The sequence below is a fragment of the Homo sapiens genome, chromosome 15 (genome assembly GCF_000001405.40).
Source record: "Homo sapiens chromosome 15, GRCh38.p14 Primary Assembly".
NCBI lineage: Eukaryota > Metazoa > Chordata > Mammalia > Primates > Hominidae > Homo > Homo sapiens.
In genome coordinates, this window is record NC_000015.10 from 37,090,920 (window position 1) to 37,111,334 (window position 20,415).

Genomic DNA, 20,415 nt, shown 5'->3' on the forward strand with positions numbered 1-20,415 from the left:
ATAAAACAAGAAAACAACGCGCTGTCTGGGCCTTTCTGAAGTGGCTCATCATCACCCCTGCACCAGTGTTCACCAAATGAGATCCAGCCTGGGGCAATGTATTAAATATGCATATCAAAGCAAATGAAAAATAAACCTGAAGATTCAAATTGGGCACATTTACATGCTGAAAATGTCCCACTCACACCACTTTTCAGGTAGTGGTTCTTTGTTATTTTTACTTTGTGTTTGGCTAGGGGGTTGAAGGAAGGCAACTTTGTAGAAGAGGCTGAAAAGCATAAGAGGATTTGCTTTGAAGGGGGAAGCCTGGACATGAATACAATCAATACACCTATGGTACAAAAGTCTCAAAAATGGTGAAAACTCTCCAAGGTTTTCTCTCATGTCCCTGCATAAAATACAAGTCTGTGGCAAATCTCTCCGTTTTCTACTTGGTGTGCTGGTGGAACAAATTATTGCTTCCTTTCAAAACAAATAGCAGGGGGCTAAAGTAAAAATGTTATAGTTCAGATCTCTAGGAAATAAAAGGCTTTAAATTATGACACCCAATGAAGTGGCAAGCCCTCATGGGTTCAAAATAAATCAGTTGTCATATTTACTTGACTGGGGGCCTGAAAGGAGAGCAACAAATGTTACAGTTGACTCTTTTATCCAAAGATGATGATTGATAAATTATTAAAGCACTATCCTCTTAGGTACAACTTCCTTCTTGAGTGGATATTTAAATATTACAATAGTCTCATAAATTGATATTGTCTATCAGCCAATACTTTAAACAGCCTATTTTATCTTATCTTTTCTATGTAAACATCAACATGGTCTAGCTGTATACATCCACTGGAAAAAGAGTTGCCAAGAAACTGTTTTAGAAAACTAAGTAGTAGGTACTCCTAGAAATATCATGAGAAAAGCTTTTGGCTCCGAGAACTGTGAACCTCTCATTTTACAAACCATGTAAATAGATCCCTCCCCAGTCTCCCAATAATGTGAATAAATATAAATATAGAAACAGAAAACAATGAAAATAAACACACAAAAAACAACAAATGTAAATATTTCTTAGGTAGTGTCATGCCTCATGGACCACAACACACTGTGGAGCCACAGATCAGCAAATAAACTTTCCATAACCACTGCTGCATCCTTTTGATTTCATTACATTCACTCAATATACAAAGGAGATCACCAAAGATTCCCTCACCATGATGGAAAAAGGTAAGGGTAAAGAGATAAGAATAGGAGCCTTCAACACCGCAGTATTTATTCTGTCACAGAACTGGATATCCCAGACTGCGGTTTTCTTTTCTAGACTTTTTCTAACTTTTGTTCTTAGGCTGGCTTCCCATACAAGTGCAAAGGTTAATTATGAAAATCTATGACTGCATATTTTCAAAACTTTTGTCTGGAGCAGGGGAGAGAAGAACCTCATAGAAGGTTTATACTAAGGCATCCCAATTCATTTCTCATACCAGTCAGGAATTGGGATGGGAGGTAGGGACAAACTGCCTTCAAGCCTTAATGCCTGTTTAACTCACACGGAGTGTCAAATTAATATTTCGGCCACAAAGTTATTAAACTACAGCTTATATTATTTAGGCTGTGAGTTCAACTGAATGTAATCTATAGACACCCTGTCCCCCATTTCCAGGCTTGAGTTCCTATAAATAAAACTGCTGTTCACACCCACTCTTTAACCTCGCCACTCTTGCCTTTCCTACCAGCTGCAATCTTTCTTCTCTTTGCTTCTTTTTCAAATTTTCAGTCTCACTACATATGCTTTTTTTTTTTTTTTTTTTTTTTTTTTTTTTTTTTTTTTTTTTTTTTTTTTAGCATCAGACTCACTAGATTGGTTCCAAAATAGGATTAGAAACAGAGAGAATAGAAAGAAATCTCCTTTCCTGGCCTGACATACACAGTCATTTCTTACTATACTCTCCATCCTCATTCACCAACTGTTAAAGTGTTAAAATTCAACCACTAACCTATGGTTACTCAATCATAATTCCCTTCAGCTTTCTGTAATACATTGTTAATAATTGGTTCATCAAGGTTACTGTCTTTTATTATGAAGATGCTTCAGGCATTTGGCAATAAGTCCCTATTCTGACAATAAGTTTCTATAGCAAAAGCCCTGAGAATTGTAATGTGTTTGTTCACCCCTTTTATTTCGAATGCAGTGCAAGATTGCCAATAATTCTCAGAATTGTCATCTCTGTGACATACTAGGAAATCAGCACTCACTCAATTCTCTTTCATTCAGTCCTCTCTCTCCAGACCAGTCCAGCTAACTGTCTTGCTTCTTTCTATCCCTGCTGCACTGATTACACAAAATTAAGAAAGCAGAAAACACAGTGGTGACTATATCAAACAGAATTTGCGAACACCCAAGTCACCAAATCCAGAAAACTTTACACATTAAGAGCACAAATCACTCTATCAACTCTGGTTTTTTGGCTCTCAACATAAATAGGAGGGGGTCCAAGAAAGGAGAAATGAAAATGAAGGGTATGGCAGAGAAAGCAAGAAAGAGAAGAAAAGACCCCAAAAGAGACGGAGTCATTTAAAAAGAAAACTAAATCAGTGGAGCTAGATGTTAAAACAAGGTTAAAATAATGCTTTGCCCAGTGGCCTTAAAAGATTGCTAAAGGCTAGCAGACTTACATGGTCAGCGAGATTTGTGGAGGAGCCTGAAAGTTCTTCATGATCTGACTTGGAGCTGCCGTCTCTTTCATCAATGACGAGGTCGATGGGCATTTTCCCCTTCAAACAGCTAATGTATCGGTGGCAGAAGTTATCGCACAGTTCGTGGACCTAGAACGAAGGTCATGGTGGAGGGTTTAGCTCATGTTGTTGTTGTTGTTGTTTTGTTTCATTTTTAGAAAGGAAAAATACCAGGTTGCAAGGTTACATTTGCAAAGAGCAACAGTGTGATGTCTTCCAAACTAACTCTAATTAAAGGGTGTAATAGTTGAAGGCAAGGAAACAATAGAGTAATTGTTGCAGCAGATATTATTCTCCAGAGACTTCTCTGAGCAACAAGTTACAATAGAGAGAGAAAGAAACAGGACTGGAAATAACTGGGTTCAGAGTGGGAGTCCAGGGAATTAAATCTGATTTGATAATAACATCAAAACATTACAACATTGGAGCTGGGGAGAGCATTAACGTTTGTGATTTTATAAGCTAGGGGTTTCGTATGTTTCCAGGGGAAAGTAATTGAGCTGCAGAGCAATGTAAAGACACCCAGCAAGGATGATTCACTCTGCCTGCACCTAATGCAAACCCAGGGCCGAGGGTGAGCTGAGCTAATAAAGATGCAAGCAGGCTGAGTGTCCAGTAACATAAATGGTTTGCTGCATTTCAAAATAATCCTGAATGCCTGAGGGGAATATTGGGGAGGAGGAGGCTACTTTAAAGGCAAGGCTGTCCTGATTCACCCACCCTCTGAGCCCCTGTGTTGAGAAGCGAGTTGAAGGATGGACATGGTTACATGCTCAAAATCTCCAGGTGCTCAATCCCTCACACTAGAGGTTTGTTAAAAACATCCCAACTCAACTAGGAGAGGGAAATGGTTTAATCAACACGGGGAGCGTTATTTCCTGCTTACCTTTTCTAACTCCAAAAGATGAAACCTTAGTACTTGTATTGCTTGTATCATCTGAAAGAAAAGTTCAGGGAATGGAGTTAGAGCTCTGTGACTCTGAGGTCCTGTCTTGGGGTTGGGAGTGGGGTGAGGATGGTGGTGAGAAAGTTGGGCTGGGGAGAAGAAACGGGCAGGTGGCCAGGAAAAACTTAAACATCAAGAAATAGTCAGAAAAATCAAGTGATTACTGATCATCTCTGCCTCATTGGCCACGGGGTAGGAATCTGACTCAACCTGAGCATAAGCATTAATATCTTTCCCCCTGATGTTCACTGTGCTATTTGTAAGACTGCTTTCCTCGGGCCAGGCCTTTTTTCTCCTCTTAGTCCTCTTTAAACATCCCCTCCCTCGACCTCAGGACAACTTTTTTTTTTTTCCTTAAAAAAAAAAAAAAAAAAAAAAGGTCCCTTCTCAGGATAGAAAAAGCTTTTTAGAACAGCATACCCAGCGAAATCCTTCCTCACTAAAGAAGGAAATACTCAAGATGAATGCTGAGGCAGGGCCTTTGAAAGCGGATTTAAGTACTTTTAATATTGAAATCGTGCAAATTAGCAAAAGAATCGCACCTAAAAGTGGCCTGCGCTGGCCTGCCCCTCACCGCCCCCCAGCCCCCACCCCCAGCCCGCCCTCAGCCGTGCCAGTGGTTACATCCTTCGGGTTAGCCGCCCGGGGCTCGGCCGCCTGCCCCGGCAAACAGAGGAAATAACTCACTTCTCGCAGTTTACTCCTGGGGCCGAGACCTGGGAAACATCCCCTGCTCGCGCTCTCGGCGCTCGGTCTCCCGTTTCGGCCTCCCTGGGCTTCGCTCCCCACCGCGTTCATCCTGCTCCTCGCTCGCCAGCTCCCGTGCGGGGGCTCTAAGCTGCTCCCTTCCTCCCTCTCTCCCTAGAGCTCCAAAAGAGGGTTCTGTTCTAACTCCCCAGAGCTCCAGCAGAAAGTGGGTGCTTCTGGGCATGGGAGAGGGCAAAGGCTGGGGAAAAACAAGGAACAGAGAGCCTTACCAAATTGTCCAGCTCTGGATTTGAGGAAAAAAGTGGCTTTTCGGCGCGAACCTGTAAGAAACAGAGAGTCAACTTGAACGATCACCCCATTTAAAATAAGAAAGCTGAAATGTGAGAATGGGTACGGTGGAGGGCAATGGCGGAGAAGAGGAAAGGGGCTTTGGCAAAATACAAGAAAGAAACTGGTGCCTTAAATTAGTGGAGTCCCTGAAGAAGAATCAGGGCATTCTGGTCCTGGCCCCATTAAGGGGGACCTGGTACGACTAAGCTGTAGCCAGGAACTCAGGGTCGTTCTCAGGGCCTCGAGTTCCATATCCAGCAGTCCAAGAGGCTGTGGCTCTCCACTGCTGCCTGGGACCGCTCGGAGAGGCGCCCAGCTTCCTTGCCTCCCGGGCACTCCCGGGTCCCTCACAGCCCCTCTCCCCAATTCTTGTTCAAGTAGCTGGAGGCGGGGGAAAAAGGCCAAGCCCCAGATTAGGAGCAGGTCAACTTTAATTCGAGGGTCGACCCCTGTATTCCTGCTGGGGGGGAAAACAAACACCCATATTTATCTCCACTTCCAATTCGCCCCCAGGCTCAGGGATGGGGAGGAGGCGTAGAGAGCGGACTGGGCCAGAGGAACAGATAGGGTGTCCCTGGCCTTTCCTCCTTTCAAGTAAAGCTCCGAGGAAAGGGGAGGGGTAGTGAGGGACTGCCCGAAGTTGAGTGGATCAAGAAGGCTGGACCTGCTTGGCGAAGACCGCGATGTCCTCGTTGAAGGAGTCGGAGGAGCAGACGTCTCCGCCAGCCACTCCAGGTTCCCGGGGAGTGCAGGTCGCCAGCTCGCACTTCTCAAAGACCAGAGCTAACAGAGGAAACAACGGGTGCCTAACGGGCAGCGCCACGCAGAGACACACACACAGAGACGGGGTGCAGAGGGGAAGGAGCAAGAACTGTAATCAACAAGTTTGGAGGGTGTGGAGTCCTTCTTTAATACAACAGGCACGCACCACACTTTACAACCCTTCCTCCATCAGGCGAGCCTAAGCCAGAAACAGAAAGGGAAAAGGGCCTGGCCCTCTCCCGCAGCTCAGAGGTCCCTCAGATCTGGCCAGAGAAGACCCCGGCCACTGCAGCCCGACAAATAAAAACAGCCTCAGTTGGAACGTAATGAAACATCCGAGACGCTCAGGCAGTCTGGAGCCCGAGTCGATTCTGATCCACTCCCCACACTACGGAGGCCGCGGAACCAACCCCTGAGACCCAGCCCTGACCTCCCAAGAAGGGAACACTGTGTGAAATTGAAAAAAAAATAGTTTTAACTCTGCATTTTAATGGGCATTTCAGACGAGGCCAAAGGCTTCACCTACATACACACCGGAGTGACACTTCATAAATGCAAGAGAATGCTCTTTTAATCTCTCCACCTCCTTGCCTTATAAACTTGTTTGCTCCTGTTCTACTAAAGCCACAGTGTGGGGGCCAAAATAATAGGAAGGTTACACACTGGAGAGCTTCCTTCCAAAGACCACATTTCTCCCAGCGTTGCAGCAGACAAAAATAAATAAATCGTGTTTTAAAACTTTAAGTGTGCGTGCGCGTATGCCCTTTGTGTTCCTCCGGGCGGCTTAGCCACACTTCGGGATGCTTGCGGCCTCTGGCTTGGGGCTCAGTTGCTGTTTACCCACTGTCCCCTCCCCTCGGCATCCCGTCGCTTTGCCCACCTACCCTCAGCCGGAAGAGCTCGTGTGGTACACGTTAGGATCGTGCATCTCACCCCTCGCCAAGTGCTCTCAGAATATAAAATAATTTCCAGCCATCTTCCTTACTCCCCCTAAGAGCGGCTCCAAGCAAGCAAGAGTCCCTTCCACCTCGCTGCACTTCGAGGTCTGCCCCCTTTATTTACAGAGAATTAAGAAGTGGGTGATTAGGACTTCCTGGCCGACAGAAGCAGCCCTGATCCCAGCTCAAGCTGCTGTTAGTGACTCCCAGACCCTCAGTAGGAAACAGAAGAAAAAAAAGTAAAAAATAAAAAAACCCAAAGTTGCTTCTCATCGGCAGGAAACTTTCTCCTTCGTCAAGGCCTCTGTTAGGGAGCCTGAAACGAGCAGTCCTGCGTCCTTTGGCCAGGAATCCTGTCCTCGGGGAGAAGGCCCCGGCAAGATTCTGGGGACTCAGTCACTCCAGGCTGTGGGGTCTGGAGTGGTCGGGCTGTGAGAGCGAAAGAGGCTAGTTCTTCGGGGCTTTGACTCCAGGGGCAGAAGAGCAGGCCCCCTCCACGGTCCCTTCCTAAGGCAAGCGGCGCCCGCCCCCCACCATACAGAAGTAACTCCCCACTTAGTCGTCCACCTTCCCACCCCCACAGAGACAAACACACACTCTCACACTCACACACAGTAAGCTGGGTCCGGGGGGTCAGTTTACCCATAGATCGCGTCCTTGTCCCGCTTCAAGGCGTCGTTGACAGCGGATCCCATACTGGCCGGCATGACATTGGGGTGCGGGGCGTGCGCGCCGTAGTGCTGTGTGGCGTGGAGCGGCGGCCCGTGGTTCAGGTGGTGAACCGGGGGGATCGGCCGCGGCGCGTGAGGGTCTCCGTACATGGAAGCGGGAACCCCTACTCCGTCCATCCCGCCGTAATGGGGCAGCTCATCGTACTGTCAGAACCCGGGAAGGGGGAGGGGGCGCAGGAGGTGAGGGAGAACAGAGGAGGGGGGTGGAAAGGGAAAAAGAGCAGGGAGAAGAGGGCGAACAGAAAAGAGAGGAAGGGATAAAGATGAGAGAGAGGGAGGGAGGTAAGAGAGAAGAGAGGAGGAGGAGGAAAAGGAGGAGAGGGGGAGAGAGAGAGAGAGAGAGAGAGAGAGAGAGAGAGAGAGAGAGAGAAAATAAAAATAAAAACAAAGTCAGAAAGGAGAAAAGTACCGAGCACAAGTTGAGCACACAGAAACCAAACCAGCCAAAACAACGGAGTTAAAAGTTGTGAGGAAAAAATGTTATTAAATTTAAAAATGAAAAAGCATGAACCAAGAGCAACGTTTAGAGAAGGAAGAGGAGGCGGCGAGGCCGGGGATTTGAGGGGGCGCCGGGAGGCCCCGCTCCCGCCGGAGGCAACAGAACCGTAGCGAGCCAACGGAGGGAGAAGTGGAGTTAGTGTGAGGAGGAAGCCCCGGATCCCACCCCTAACCCCCCTTCGCCTCCTCTGAGGATCCAATAAATCAAAAGGCGAAATGAAACAAAATAAAGAGAAGAAAAACGCTAATAATCAGCACGAGAACGCCGAGGACTAGGAAAGACTAGGGCCAGTGCCTCCCCGGGGGCAGGGAGCGGAGGGTGGGGGGGCGAATAACGTGAAAGTTACCAGAAACATTATTTAGCAGCGGATTCCCTGCGTCCTTGTCAATTTCAGAGACAAAACAAGCAGCCCAGGCTAGTAGTCTAGGCGGCGGCGCAGCGGCTGCGGCAGCGCGGCCCCAGCGGCGGCCCCGGCGGCGGCTCCTACGCAGCCCGTGCCCGCCCCGAGCCGCGCGAGCCACGGCGGCAGCGGCGCAGCAGCGGCAGCAGGAGAACCGGGGGAATCGCGCTGCTGGGGTAAAAGCTGGAGCGAGGCGAAAGCGTGTAACGATTGCACACGCACACACACACACCACTCACACGCACTCGCCGCCCGCCCGCTCGCACAGCGCTGGAACACGCGCGCCCAGACACGCACACACGCACGCACACACACTCGCACACACGCAGAGGCACGGGAGGGAAAGAAGCCGATGAATAATTTTGCTATTTTTTAAAATACTGGCCGCCATCATCAAGCAGCGAGCAGCAGCAGAAGCGTTGAAGGGAGAGGAGGCATCGGGACAGGCCCCTCTTAGGAGAGGATTTATATCTAGGTAAGTGTTGGAGATTTAAACCTACCCTTTGCGCCATCAGTCTGCGCTCCAATAAACTCCTGGATGTGTCGTATATTTAATATCCCAGTCCGGATAAGAAAGTGATCTAGGCTGAAGATTCCTTTTTTTTTTTTCCAAACCAAAGAGACTTCTCCCAATTCTCCAATATGCTATTTTTTAGGGGGGAAAAAAAGCCCAGTCTAGACAACGAAGAATTTTTTTTTCTGTGATATTTCTTCTTTTTCTCTTTTTTCCTCTTCTTCCTCCTCCTCCTGATCTTCCTCCTCCTCCTCCACCTCCTCCTCCTCCCCCCTCCCCTCCTCCTCCTCTTCGGTCCTCCTTTCCCCCTCTTTCTCTTCTCTTCCCCTCAGTTGGAAAAAAAAAGAAAGAAAAGAAAAAGAAGAAAAAGAAGAAAAAAATTGTCAAGCCCCCGAACTGAAGGTTACGAGCGGCCCGTCAGCAGCCCACATGTAACCGAACTGTCGTGTTTCATGGCTTTTTGCCACTCCAGCTGTCAATCAAAGCCCGGAATGTCAAGGTAGTGAATGAATGATGGTTGATGATGATGAAGAGGAGGAATCTTTCAGACCCGTTTTTTTCTTCCAGTAAAACTCCGCGAGGGGTTTCTGCTTCTTGAATTTTTTCCTCCCCCCTCCCCCCTTTTTTAGCTTTGCCCCCGCGGTATCTATAATACGATCCTCTCTCTTTAAAGTATTGTTCAAAGAAAGCAGTGAGAAAAATCAAGAAAAAAAAATGAATAGTTTGCAAAAATTGGACTTCCTCCCCCCCTTTCCTGGTAGGTATTTTGTCTCTCCCTCTCTCTCTTTCTCGCTCGCTCGCTCGCTCTCACTCGCGCTCGCTCTCTCGCGCTCGCTCTCTCTCGCTCTCTTTCTCTCTCTGGGAGATGAGTGAGTGTCAGTAGGTGTTGGCAGGTTGGCTGCTGCCTGGCTTATTGAAGAGCCTCAGTTTGGCGGCGCGGGTCGGCGGCGGGAGAACGAAATGACGGAACCCGGAAGTCGTGGTGGCCATAGCCCGTCGTACGGCGGAGACACATCCCGGGAGTGGGGAGCGGGAGCGAGGAGGAGCGCGCCGCGCCGAGCCTCTGATATGCAACGAGTGCGATCGGACAGCCCCGGCTGGGGGGGTGGGGGAGGCGGGGGGGCGGGAGGGGGAGGGGAGGCTCGAGCCGGGCGGACCCGAGCAAATCAGCAAGCCTGCTCCTCCACGGGGATGGGGGACGGCGGGGGGGAGGAAAAGGAGAGTGTGTCTGTGTGTGTGAGTGTGTGTGTATGTGTGTGCGTGCGCGCGTGTGTGTTGCGCGCGCGCGCGCGCGAACAGGGAGAGAGGGAGAGGGGGAGAGAGAAGAGGACAGGGAGAGCGCAGAGAGGAAAACTGCAGAAAACCACAGGGAAAGTACGGTACCGCCTCAGATCTTTTCATTTAAAAAAAAAAAAAAACTTACTTCTAGTTCATTTTCCCATCACTCCCGGCTCCTGCCTAACTGGGTCTTGCCGGGGACGTTTGGCATGGCGCTCTAGCTTTTGTTCCTTTTAATTCCGCGGCCTCCCTCTCCTCTGCCCGCCGATTACAGCACCCCGAAGGCTTCCTGCTAACGTCCAAGGGCAGCAAGCTCTGCAGACGGTACCACTGCCGGGCTAAATTTTTTATTAAGTGGCACTTTCTTTTCTGCGCAGATCCAGCAACCTTGTCAATACTCATTTTTTTCCAGGACCAGAAGAGACCAGCTTAACTCAGAGCACACTCCCTCCAAGCGGTGCGGACAAGGGGCCACCCCGAGAGTCTTTGGGGGCCGCGGCGGAATCGGGAGGGAGGAAGTGAGGAGGCAGTCATCTGGGTCCGATGTAGCCAAAGGCGTGTGTGTGTGTGTGTGTGTGTGTGTGTGTGTGTGTGTGTGCGCGCGCGCGCCCGCGCGCCCGTGCGCGCGCGCGACTAGTGTGCGTCTCCAAAGTGGATCTCACTCAGAGCTGGGAAGCACAGGAGGAAAAGACGGAGAGAGTGGGGGAGAAAGAAGTTGCCGGGCGAGGAGGAGTGGCCGGCGCTCACAGCCCAGCTTTGTTGTGGTCGCCCGAGGCGCAGCGGCGGGCCGCGGTAACGCCTGCTAATGGCTGTGTTAATTACACAGGGGCGATTTCGCGGGGTCAGGGAGATGGGGCCAGCTCCGAAAGAACTTTTCCAAAAAGGAAAAGGAAACGAAGGGAACTACCCCACACCGTTTGGGTGGAAACTAGTTGTGGCCGGTGCCCTGTCCTCCCTGGCCCGAGCTGCACCAGGCTTCACCTCTGCGCGGCTGGTTTCCCGGCGGCCGCGCGTCAATCACTACGAGCCCGGAGTTGGGGGCGGAGCCACGGTCACCCCGCGCAAGCCTTGCCGCCCAGCAGCCCCCATGCCCCTCGGCCCCTTGTGGCGCGGCCGGGCGGACAGGCGCTGGAAGCGCGTCCTCTCCCCAACTTCTCGCTCTCGCCCTCCCAGTCCCTGGCCCAGAGAGTGGAAAGCGGACTGTTGTTCTCCAACAGCCGCATCCCTCCCCAACTTTGAACCCATTCTGAGAAGTGGAGAGTAGTGTCTTCCGCGAGCCGCGTCTAACCGACTTTCCCGCGGAGGGAGGGTGGGATGGGGGAGGTTGATTAGAGAGAATAAAGTACTCTGTGTGTGTGTTGTGTGTGAGAGAGAGAGAGAGAGAGCGAGAGAGAGCGGGGAGGAGGGCGGGTGGGAGGGCTCTTTTTTTTGGCCCCCGTTCCATGTTCCCTGCTTCACTGTAAGCTTTCGAGCAACAGAAACTAGGCTAAGATTGCAGCCTGCAGAGACTCCAAGCGGAGTCGGAGAAATTTGGCCTCGTTTTAATAGGGCTGAGGAATGAACTCCGGAGGTCAATAAAGCCCTCCAAAAATGATGAATGATTGAGCACCTGTGATGATGATAGTGATTACCAGAGCAATTAAACAGTTTGATTAAATGAGCCATCATAACAATGATGTCTGCGGGAAATCGGCCCTCACATATAAAGAAAGATAGTGCGAAGGGGCTGGCAGAGGCGCGGATAGCGCGACGCCAGGGAGAGGGGCTGCGGGCCGCGAGGTTTCTGCCCAATGGCCCGAGCAGGGACGGCCAGACTCACGGAGCTTCAGGGAGGAGAGTGTAGCCCAGGTTTTCAGCCACTCTTTTTTGCCGGGCTTCAAGCCTGCTAGAGCCGACGGGTAGGAAATCTGAAGGTTGGGGGGAGGGTACTTCCTCCACGTCCTCTTTTTTTTCCTAGAAGAACTCCAAGATTAAAAGTATCCTTATTTGTTGCTGAGTTGCTCGTCGACATTTAAGAGAAGGTGAGTAAAAAAGAAAAGAAGATGAAAGAGAAAAGAAAAAGTTGGTCTCCAGAATTTTATTTCAATCGACAGTTACGCGAATTCAGTTTAGCCGGGACCGGGAGGTTTGAGAGTGCGGCGGGGTGGGGAGGGGAAAAAAACAAAAACGCTGCGGAGCGTTTTCGACTTTGCAAAGCTGTTGATGTTGGTGGGTCCAAGTTCCCGGTGCAGCGCCGCTGGCTGAGAAATTTGTACTCAGTTTTTACTCTTCTAATTATTCTTAAATTCAATTTAAGAATTTAAGTTTATCGTCGCCAATAGGATTATTGTTGTTTTAAATGTCTTGTTCAATAAGTGCCAGTTACGTTTCTTTTTAAAAGAAATTCCTCAGTGTCCTTGATAAACCTTTTTTTGTAAAGATCAACTTCATGCGGAACCTCTGCCTTGCAGGGTTTAAACATTCAACATTGCTACCTTCTGTTTCTTTTTCTGTTTTTATAGTGATACTGTAAAGTGAGTTAGCATCTCTATAGCTTTCATTTAGAAAAACTTAAGTCGCATTTTTAGAAAAATATTCCTTCCCTTGCAGTGTGAGTAAAAACAACTCAGACAGATTGATGATTTCTATATTTTCTTTTCTTTCTTTATCTTCTTTTTCTTTTTTTCTTTTCTTTTCTTTTTTTTTCTTTTTTTTTGAGACGGAGTCTCGCTTTGTCGCCCAGGCTGGAGTGCAATGGCGCGATCTCGGCTCACTGCAACCTCCGCCTCCCGGGTTCAAGCGATTCTCCTGCCTCAGCCTCTTGAGTAGCTGGGATTACAGGGGCGCGCCACCACGCCCGGCTAATTTTTTGTGTCTTTAATAGAGACGGGGGTTTCACCATATTGGCCAGGCTGGTCTCGAACTCCTGACCTCCTGATCCACCCGCCGCGGCCTCTCAAAGTGCTCGAATTACAGGCGTGAGCCATCGCACCCGGCCGATTTCTATGTTTTCAAACAATTGTAAGCTAATAATGAGTTGATTATCTGGTGATAATCTTGGGTTTTACAAAAAAAGAAAAGTTTAAACTTTATTTTCATGTGTTTTTATCAGATGCAGAAGGCATTTTTAACCTTAACGCCTTTCTCTGTCTCTCTCTTTCATATTCTTAACTTCTTTTGCATTTTATTGAATACATTAAAGCAAACAACAGGAACAATATGGTTAGGTGTAGGAGGGAGAGAGAAATATGACATTTTAAGATATTGTCAAAAAGTCATATTTAACTTCAACGACTTTTAGTTAAAAAAGTGTGAGAGTGTTGAAAGTGCATTCCTACTGGAGGAAATCTATGTCTTTTTAAAATTTGCCAGTTGTCTCAGGGGAGAACCCAGAATTTCTTTGAACGAAAGAGATCTTACTGATCTAGTTGCATGTCACTTATGAAACTGTTAGTTTAAAATAGCAGTCCTAGTGTAGTGGATTACACATGAGGAGATCAAGTTGGAGTCGATTCAAGGTATTGGTTCTTGGTCAGTCTGCTGAATTCAAAACACTATTACCTTTAATCAGCAACTTGCGGGTGTTTTATTAATAGAGCTGAAAAAGGCTCATCTAACATATAAGAATTTCCTGGTTTCCCTCATCCCCAATTTTCCAGTCCAATAGAAGCGATTCCAAAGGAGTAGGGTACCCGCACTTACTGATTTCCATCCTGGTGGCATTTTGCTAATGCCCCATTGTCAGCGTTGGCACTCCCACCCAGGCTTCCAGGCTCATCTGCTCTCCCATATTTGGGGTGAAAGGAAAGTAGGTGGGGCAGGCCCGGGAGACAGGCACGAAATGGGGGTCGCAGGAGGTGGCACACACCTCCGTCAACAGTCAGCTCCTTCTGCCCAGGCTGGAAATGGTTTTAACAGGCGGTAAAATTTCATCTTGCGGTGTCAAATTGGGGTCATTTTGGGGTTAGAGTTCTCAGTGTCCGAGAGGAGCTGTCCAGCTGCGTGGGGACTCATTAACTGCAAAAGATCTGTTTCAGTAAAAACAATTCAAAGACAATCAGAAGGCTAAAGACCCTCTACAAATCGCATTTTACAAGTGCCCCAGAACAAATATGGATGGTGAAACCTATTTCTTCAGAATCCCAAATCAGCTACTTAGCTCTGGAGTGGGGGTGGGGGTACTGCATAAAAAAGAGGTGAAAAGGAGGGGACCAAGCGGGTGGGGACCAGTGGAAGGGGGAATCGGGCCTCTCAAATTTAAGAGTCTGTTTTTAATCACCTCTTTCTTATTGAAGCAGCCCCAAGAGTTCTGAAAACTGCTACTTTTCTATTTTTCATTTTCTTTTTTTGAGCCAACATGGAATGCTATTATAGGTAACATTTAAGATTTAAAAGGAATAATTGAATTCCACTATAGTCCCTTAATTTGAAGGGCATTGGCTTTATGGGGAGTGTTTAATTTGAACCAAGAATTTATGAACCCAGACTCTAGGTGAATTTGCCCACACTCCTTAAGGAGCTTGTGTAGCTGTTTCTTTTTCTTTTCCTTGAAAGTTATAGCTTCTTAGCACAGATAACTTCAAATTCCTCAGAACTGAGAAGTCCAAAGTGTTAATCTGTGTATTAAAATCGCCAGGTTTAAATCCTTTTTGTCTTCTTACAACAGTTAGAACAATTGACGCCTTGCTAGAGAAGCAAATAAGTCCAACCTTAATCTTATCTGTAACTTTATTTAATGTTTTGATTTGGAATATTTTGGATTAAGCATATCTTTAAAAACTCTGTAAGGTTAATTTTTATTCCGGGAGGGAAGTTCTCTTTACTGATTTTGAAAAAAGACATGAATTATTACTTTGATTTTCAAAAATTCCTTCAGGTAAAAGGAAAATTCAGGTTTAAAATGAGAAGCTAGATATGTGAAATGCCAGAGATTTTAGGATAAAACCAAGTCAATACTTAAAAGTAAAGTATCATTTGAAAGAAATTTTATTTCTTGCATTACTGAACTGAGCAAGTAACAGTGATCAAAAATATGTTATTCTCTCTCCATCTCTCTCTCTCTCTGGACTCCACTTCTGTCACTAGGTCTTCTCTTTCCATCCCCAGCACTTTTCTTTGGGTTCTGAATGACACAGTGATTTTTTTTTTTTGTAGTCTAGTTATTTTCTCCAAGCGTCTCAGAGTATTTCTAAATTGTTATTCAAGGAGTTTGATTTCAGCCCTGCAGAAACAGCCCTGAGCCCAGCATCGCTGGGACAAAGGCAGAAGGGGCTATCTTCTGTTCAAGACCTGCTGGCTGACAGTTGGAATTTTTGATATATATTTTATTTGGCGTTTCCAATAACGTGTTTGTCTTTCCCTCTCCACCCCTTGCAGCCATCTATTACTTTTAAAACATCCCTTCTCCATAAACATCGGCTCATCCTTGTGAACTATTCTTGACCTTCCCAGCAGTGTAACCAGCAGCTCTGAAAGTTGGCCTAGAAATAATTCCACTGGCTTCCTTACCTGTTAACTTTACTCACTCTTCCTAGCTGGGATCAACAGAAGGAAGGGGACTTTTTTGTTTGCTTTTGTTGTTGTTGGTGGTGGTGGTGGTGGTGGTGGTGGTTTTTGGTTCTTTGGTCCTTTTCCCACTTAAACTTTCTATAATGATTTATTCTCCGCCTCCTCCCATTAATAACGTTTAAGCACCCCACACTTTATTTTTTAAATAAAATGGAGTAAAATTATTATACTTTTTTCCTTTATGCCCCCTTTTCTTTTATTTCTCCCAATTTTAGGGGCTTCACCATCTCATAGAAAGGACTTCAATAAATAGCCCTCTAGCGCTATCTGGCGGGGCTCCAAACACGACGTGCGCTTGCTCTCACTGTTTCTTCCTCCTTCCCGCGCTCTCTTCTTTCCTCTCTTTCTTCCTCTCTCCTGCTTTTTCTCTCGTCTCTTCCGCTCGATTGTTTTCCTCTTTTTTTCTGTCCTCCTGCGGCCTCTTGTCTAGTTCCTACCCCTACTTCAGCGCAGGCGGCTTGGAAAGCCCCGGCCAGAGGCTAGTAACTCTCGCAAGTGGGAGATGCTCTGGCGACGGATCTCTCTTTTCTGATCCCTCCTCCCCCTTACCCAGCGCGGATCACACACATCCTTTGCCTTTGATTAGCATCTTAAAGTTGCTTAGCGTGCCGCTTAAGTCCCAGCGTCTCAGCTGGCGGTGGTTTGGAGAGGCTTAAAACTGCATTCATGAAGTTTGGAGGAAAGAAATCAGACACTGGAATTCAGGGCTAGGAGCCCAGCTCAGTTTTAGGTCAGAAGGCCGAGTCTCAGTGCGAGATTGAGGAAGGGTCGGGGCTTAACGGGGGAGGTGGGGGTGGCGGGGGGGGGAACAGCACGGCGCGGCGCCTAGCCTGCGAGATGGAGTCGGAGTGGGGGTGCGAGCGGTCCTCCACCGCCTCTGCCCGATCCGTACCTCACAATGGACTGCTCGAGTTTGTATCTAGGCCTGTCCAGGATTGTTTACTCCTTCAATTAATCAGCTTTATCTCTTTTCCCCCTCCCCCCACCTCCACCAAATCTGGAGAGGAGTGGGAAAGAACTGGAAAACTCACAGGGCAAAGAGAGAAAGCCAACAGTCATAGTGCGGGAGGAGGCACGCCTGGGATGCAATACCCAACAGTCTCCTCCCTGCTTTCCTGCAATTTGCAGGTCATTGTCTTTCTTATTTGTAGCTTTTTTTTTTTTTCTTCAGTAGCCGGTAAACAATCGAACGCCGGGTAGGGAGGTCAGAGGGGATGGGGCTGTGGGAGAGATTCTACTCAGGCTAGGTGCTTTAGATTTGGACCTGGCTGTGTCCCTACTTTATTAAAATTCTCATGTGGCGCGCGCTGTCTTCTCTCTTCTCTCTCTCTCTCTCTCACACACACACGCACATACACACACAGCCCGAGAGAAATTTCCAATCTTTGAGCAAATCTCTTCCATCTAGTCCTTGAAACAGAGGAAAGGACATGGGACCTGAAGGAGAGTTATGATTGAATTTTCTAAAATTTAGTTTTGACATTGCAAAGTAAAAGTGAGGACCGTATTCCCAATACAGACCCAGAGGGTGGTTATTTCAGGTGAGGGGACCTCAGCCTGTGACGTCTATGATCAACCAGACAAAGACCCCTTCCTAAATCTGAAGTCCCACCCCCACCCGTGGCAAACATGGAATACAAGGGAGGGGAAGGATGGCACAATAGTGGGTTCTGTTTTCCAAGAACTGCCCCCCACCTCCATTGCAGAAGGAAAAAAAAGCACGGTTCGGGTGTAATTAATTGGGGACTGTTATTAGGTCATCATTAGCCAAGGTACAAATAATAGCAGCACATTTTTACTTAAAATTGACCAGCCCCAGAGTGATAGATCGATTTGGAGTATAAAAAGATGTATCAAAACATCAATGTCGATTATTTGAAATATTGTAGTCGAATTTTTTTTATTGCTTCATCGGTTAAGTGTCTGAAAATGCAGTGTTCAAACATATATTTATGTTGTCAATACTGTCAGAACTGTCAGTTTTACTATACTGGATTTGTACTATATTTCAAATATGCTAATTTACATAAAATGCCCACCCTAGGATTCCCCCCCTACACCCACCCCATCTCTGGAAAATCCGTGTCAGTTTCTTCAAAGGATTCAGCAATCTTTGCCTAAGCTAAAGTGTGCACTACCTCTTTTACTCAATTTTCCACATCGGATTACATGTCTTTTTCACCATCTCTAACTTTCAAAGAGATCCTTCTTCCTTTCTCCCCAATTCTGCCTACTCTAACCTCTTCTTCAAAATAGTACTGAGGCACTTGGAAAGCTTCGAATTTAAATATCCACATCCCAGCTCCAAATATACCATTGGAGTAAAAAAACGGAAAAACTGGACTTGAGTGTACTTGGCCGCACTCGGGTAAACCAGGCTTCACCAGGTAGACGTTCTCATACCGTAAGGGTCCATCATCAAATTACCTGGCAGATTGAAATCTTCCAGGGAAAATGAATTTGGAAATGTAAACACCTTTTCTTTCTTTTTACTTAAAAGCCTCGATGGTAGAAAAAGAAATAATACTTATAAATGATCGGCACGTTTTAACTTTAAAAGCTTTTGAACTCAAGTGAAAGACACACGTTGGAAACAGAATTGATAGTTTTAATTCTACCCATTTTCACCTGGCACATCAGATCAGTGGCAATCATTTATTTTATGGGGTGTGGAGGGGAAAGGGATAGAAAGCGGATAGAAAGCTAGAATCCACTGAAGTCCCTGTCCTAAAAATCTCAGAGAAATTAAAGACTTATTGAAACACAAACATTCCATCGCTCCATACTCTCCGTCCAGATGAATTGAAACTTATAAATCCACGCTCTCCCCAATTTTATGTTTTTTATTTATTTTTTTTCAGGGTTTGATAGGAAAGATACCCAAGTCTGATAGGGAAGACAGGGCCACTTCTGGACTAGCTGTGAGGATGTGTTTTCATTTCCATAACACTGAAGCACTTTCTGTAAACCTTTTGATGTACTTAAATAAGTCTATTTGGACATTTAAAGAAGCTACACATACAAACATAGCTTGGCTTTTTGCCGTCAATCCCAGCATTAAAAAAACATTCATAATCTAACTGAGAAGCTCTTTCATACCCATCCTTCTTTCAAATAAGTAAATAAATAAAGAAATAGAAGTGCAAACCAAAGAAAGTTTCCAGCGTGCATCTGTACGTCTTCGTGTGCGAGTTTATAAACAACTTCCAGTCGGTACTTGGGTGTTACCTCCCTCCTGCCACACACCCCAAGGCAGAGGCATCGAGGGATCGCCCCCAGAGAGCTGTGTTTACTTAGCTTGTTTTAAAAAAAATCTCGCCGCCATGTATGACAAGTGTTACTGCAAGAAATTCATCAGCCTTCTACAGATACTTCCAGTTTTGCTGTAATGATCTGCAGAAGAGAACTGCCATCACTTTCTCACATCCCAAGGTGTTGCAGGAACTCAGAGAGAGGGGAGAGTGGCTGAAACGCTTAATTACCGGAGGCGAAGGAGGGGCGCGCGGGGGACCGAAGGAGAGGGGAGTGAAGAAGGAAGGTCCTTTACCAGGCTTGTACCTGGAGAAAGCTTTGAATCGCTTCTCTGCTATATTTGGAAAAGGTATGCTTGCTTTTTAAAAAAATGCCTTTAGGGCAAAGTGATACCCTTGTGTAATAATTAACTCAGACAATAAAAATAATTGGAAAATCAGTTGGAATTTCTGAGTTTTTAATTACGTTTAATTTCGTACTAAGCCGTAAAATTACGAATGCCCCTCAATTAAACACTCTCCTCTTGTAAAGCGTTTAACAACAATTATTCCTTAATCAGTCTGAATGTGAGTCACAAATGGTGCTTTTCCACATCAAAGAGACGTCCTTCCACGTTACCTTTTAGTCATAAGTAAGAGGATTAATTCCTATAATTAGAGGGATAAATATGTGCATAAATATATCTCTCACCCTCTCCTTAAAAAACAAAACAAAACACTTTCACTCTGTGTGATACGTGGCCGGCTATGGTAGGGTAAGTGTTTGTAATCGTCTGCCTCTGCCCGGCATCCCTTTGCTGACGGGTGACTGGAACGGAGGAGACGCCGCGCGAAGCGCAGGGCCCCAGAGGGACACATGCACAGAGGCGCACACACGGGTCAGGCAGGAGGCGCAGAGTTCGGGGGCCCGGGACTCCACCAATTCCAGTGCGATCCTCCCCAGACAATAACCCACCTCCCACCTTGGCCCTGCCCAGCGCAGCAAGACAGTTGTCTCCCTGTCGGTCTGCTTGTCCAGAAGAGCGGGGTCCCTGCCCTAAGCCCCAGCTCCAGCTTGACTCTTCAGGCTACAAATAAAAATTGAGCGTGACCTTTTAAAACTCCAGTGTGAATATCTCATTTACCTAATGACTTTATGTCACCTAGGAAGAAGGTCAATTTCCTCTTAACCTTTTCCCCGCTGCTGCAGTAAGCATTCTTCCCTAATCAATGGTGGCTGGAATAATCAATTCCCATTTTATGATCGCTGACAAACTCAATCTCAGGGCGGGGTGTGAGAGCTGGGGGTGAGCTGGCTCGGGCCGGGACAGAGGTCTCTCTGCGTACGCCCCGCTCCGCCCGGCGCCAAGGGAAGCCGCTGTCTCTTCCGTCGAGTTCTGAGACCTTGGCAAACTTCCCTCCCCCAACCGCCGGCGTGACTTCTGAGTTGTCACTAATCCGAACCTGATATTCACCAGAGCTCCTTCGGTCACCGACAACGCTCCCCGCTGCTGCCGCGGCCTCCCGCCCGCCCTCCTCGGCGTGTTTTCATTTCTAAGTCTACGGGCAGGGATTGCCCCGACCCAGTGTGTGTGTGCGTGTGTGTGTGTGCGTGGTTTCATTTACATTTTAAAAATCATTTTTGCGTTCTTCAGCGTGGATCTCAGCACTTTCCCTGTGTCTCAGGCCGACTAACTTTGCATAAACAAAGCAACAACCGAAGCTCATAGTGGGTGAAATCTTGCGGGGAAATGAAGGCAACCTGGTGGAGTTCGATCTCTCTCTCTCTCTCTCTCTCTCTCTCTCTCTCT

At 47.1% G+C, this 20,415-nt stretch overlaps 1 protein-coding gene and 1 long non-coding RNA gene across 10 annotated transcripts in view, besides 8 other annotated features; one reads left to right on the top strand and one right to left on the bottom strand.

Moving 5' to 3' along the window:
* Positions 1-10,392, bottom strand: part of MEIS2 (Meis homeobox 2) — a 212,108-nt gene extending 201,716 nt beyond the window's left edge. For 5 of the 9 annotated variants that reach the window (NR_051953.2, NM_170676.5, NM_170674.5 and 2 more), the window contains exons 1-6: positions 8,536-9,630; positions 7,048-7,280; positions 5,370-5,511; positions 4,645-4,695; positions 3,608-3,658; positions 2,662-2,811 (exon numbers count right to left, since the gene is read on the bottom strand). Coding sequence is in view for 8 of the 9 variants with exons in the window: in NM_170676.5 (NP_733776.1) it covers positions 2,662-2,811; positions 3,608-3,658; positions 4,645-4,695; positions 5,370-5,511; positions 7,048-7,280; positions 8,536-8,547 (639 nt within the window). In the remaining variant the exon portion in view is untranslated. Of the gene's footprint in view, positions 1-2,661; positions 2,812-3,607; positions 3,659-4,644; positions 4,696-5,369; positions 5,512-7,047; positions 7,778-7,981; positions 8,188-8,535; positions 9,631-9,972 lie in introns of those variants that run through there. The other 4 variants (NM_001220482.2, NM_002399.4, NM_172316.3 and 1 more) reach the window with 4 other exon arrangements.
* Positions 3,821-4,682: an enhancer, noted in NCBI's record as "OCT4-NANOG-H3K27ac-H3K4me1 hESC enhancer chr15:37386941-37387802 (GRCh37/hg19 assembly coordinates)". NCBI's record gives its function as "activates a minimal SCP1, AML or CMV promoter by ChIP-STARR-seq in naive H9 embryonic stem cells {active_cell/tissue: H9 hESC(naive)}" and the evidence as "EXISTENCE:reporter gene assay evidence [ECO:0000049][PMID:30033119]".
* Positions 8,002-8,201: a silencer, noted in NCBI's record as "silent region_6294". NCBI's record gives its function as "represses an Ori minimal core promoter by ATAC-STARR-seq in GM12878 lymphoblastoid cells {active_cell/tissue: GM12878}" and the evidence as "EXISTENCE:reporter gene assay evidence [ECO:0000049][PMID:35858748]".
* Positions 8,329-19,065, top strand: LOC124903465 (uncharacterized). Its single transcript, XR_007064581.1, has 2 exons — positions 8,329-8,510; positions 8,882-19,065. It is a non-coding gene; the product is annotated as an uncharacterized LOC124903465 (long non-coding RNA).
* Positions 8,352-8,411: a silencer, noted in NCBI's record as "silent region_6295". NCBI's record gives its function as "represses an Ori minimal core promoter by ATAC-STARR-seq in GM12878 lymphoblastoid cells {active_cell/tissue: GM12878}" and the evidence as "EXISTENCE:reporter gene assay evidence [ECO:0000049][PMID:35858748]".
* Positions 9,471-9,630: an enhancer, noted in NCBI's record as "active region_9196". NCBI's record gives its function as "activates an Ori minimal core promoter by ATAC-STARR-seq in GM12878 lymphoblastoid cells {active_cell/tissue: GM12878}" and the evidence as "EXISTENCE:reporter gene assay evidence [ECO:0000049][PMID:35858748]".
* Positions 9,881-10,160: an enhancer, noted in NCBI's record as "active region_9197". NCBI's record gives its function as "activates an Ori minimal core promoter by ATAC-STARR-seq in GM12878 lymphoblastoid cells {active_cell/tissue: GM12878}" and the evidence as "EXISTENCE:reporter gene assay evidence [ECO:0000049][PMID:35858748]".
* Positions 10,861-11,000: a silencer, noted in NCBI's record as "silent region_6296". NCBI's record gives its function as "represses an Ori minimal core promoter by ATAC-STARR-seq in GM12878 lymphoblastoid cells {active_cell/tissue: GM12878}" and the evidence as "EXISTENCE:reporter gene assay evidence [ECO:0000049][PMID:35858748]".
* Positions 15,676-16,217: an enhancer, noted in NCBI's record as "NANOG hESC enhancer chr15:37398796-37399337 (GRCh37/hg19 assembly coordinates)". NCBI's record gives its function as "activates a minimal SCP1, AML or CMV promoter by ChIP-STARR-seq in primed H9 embryonic stem cells {active_cell/tissue: H9 hESC(primed)}" and the evidence as "EXISTENCE:reporter gene assay evidence [ECO:0000049][PMID:30033119]".
* Positions 19,449-19,498: a silencer, noted in NCBI's record as "silent region_6297". NCBI's record gives its function as "represses an Ori minimal core promoter by ATAC-STARR-seq in GM12878 lymphoblastoid cells {active_cell/tissue: GM12878}" and the evidence as "EXISTENCE:reporter gene assay evidence [ECO:0000049][PMID:35858748]".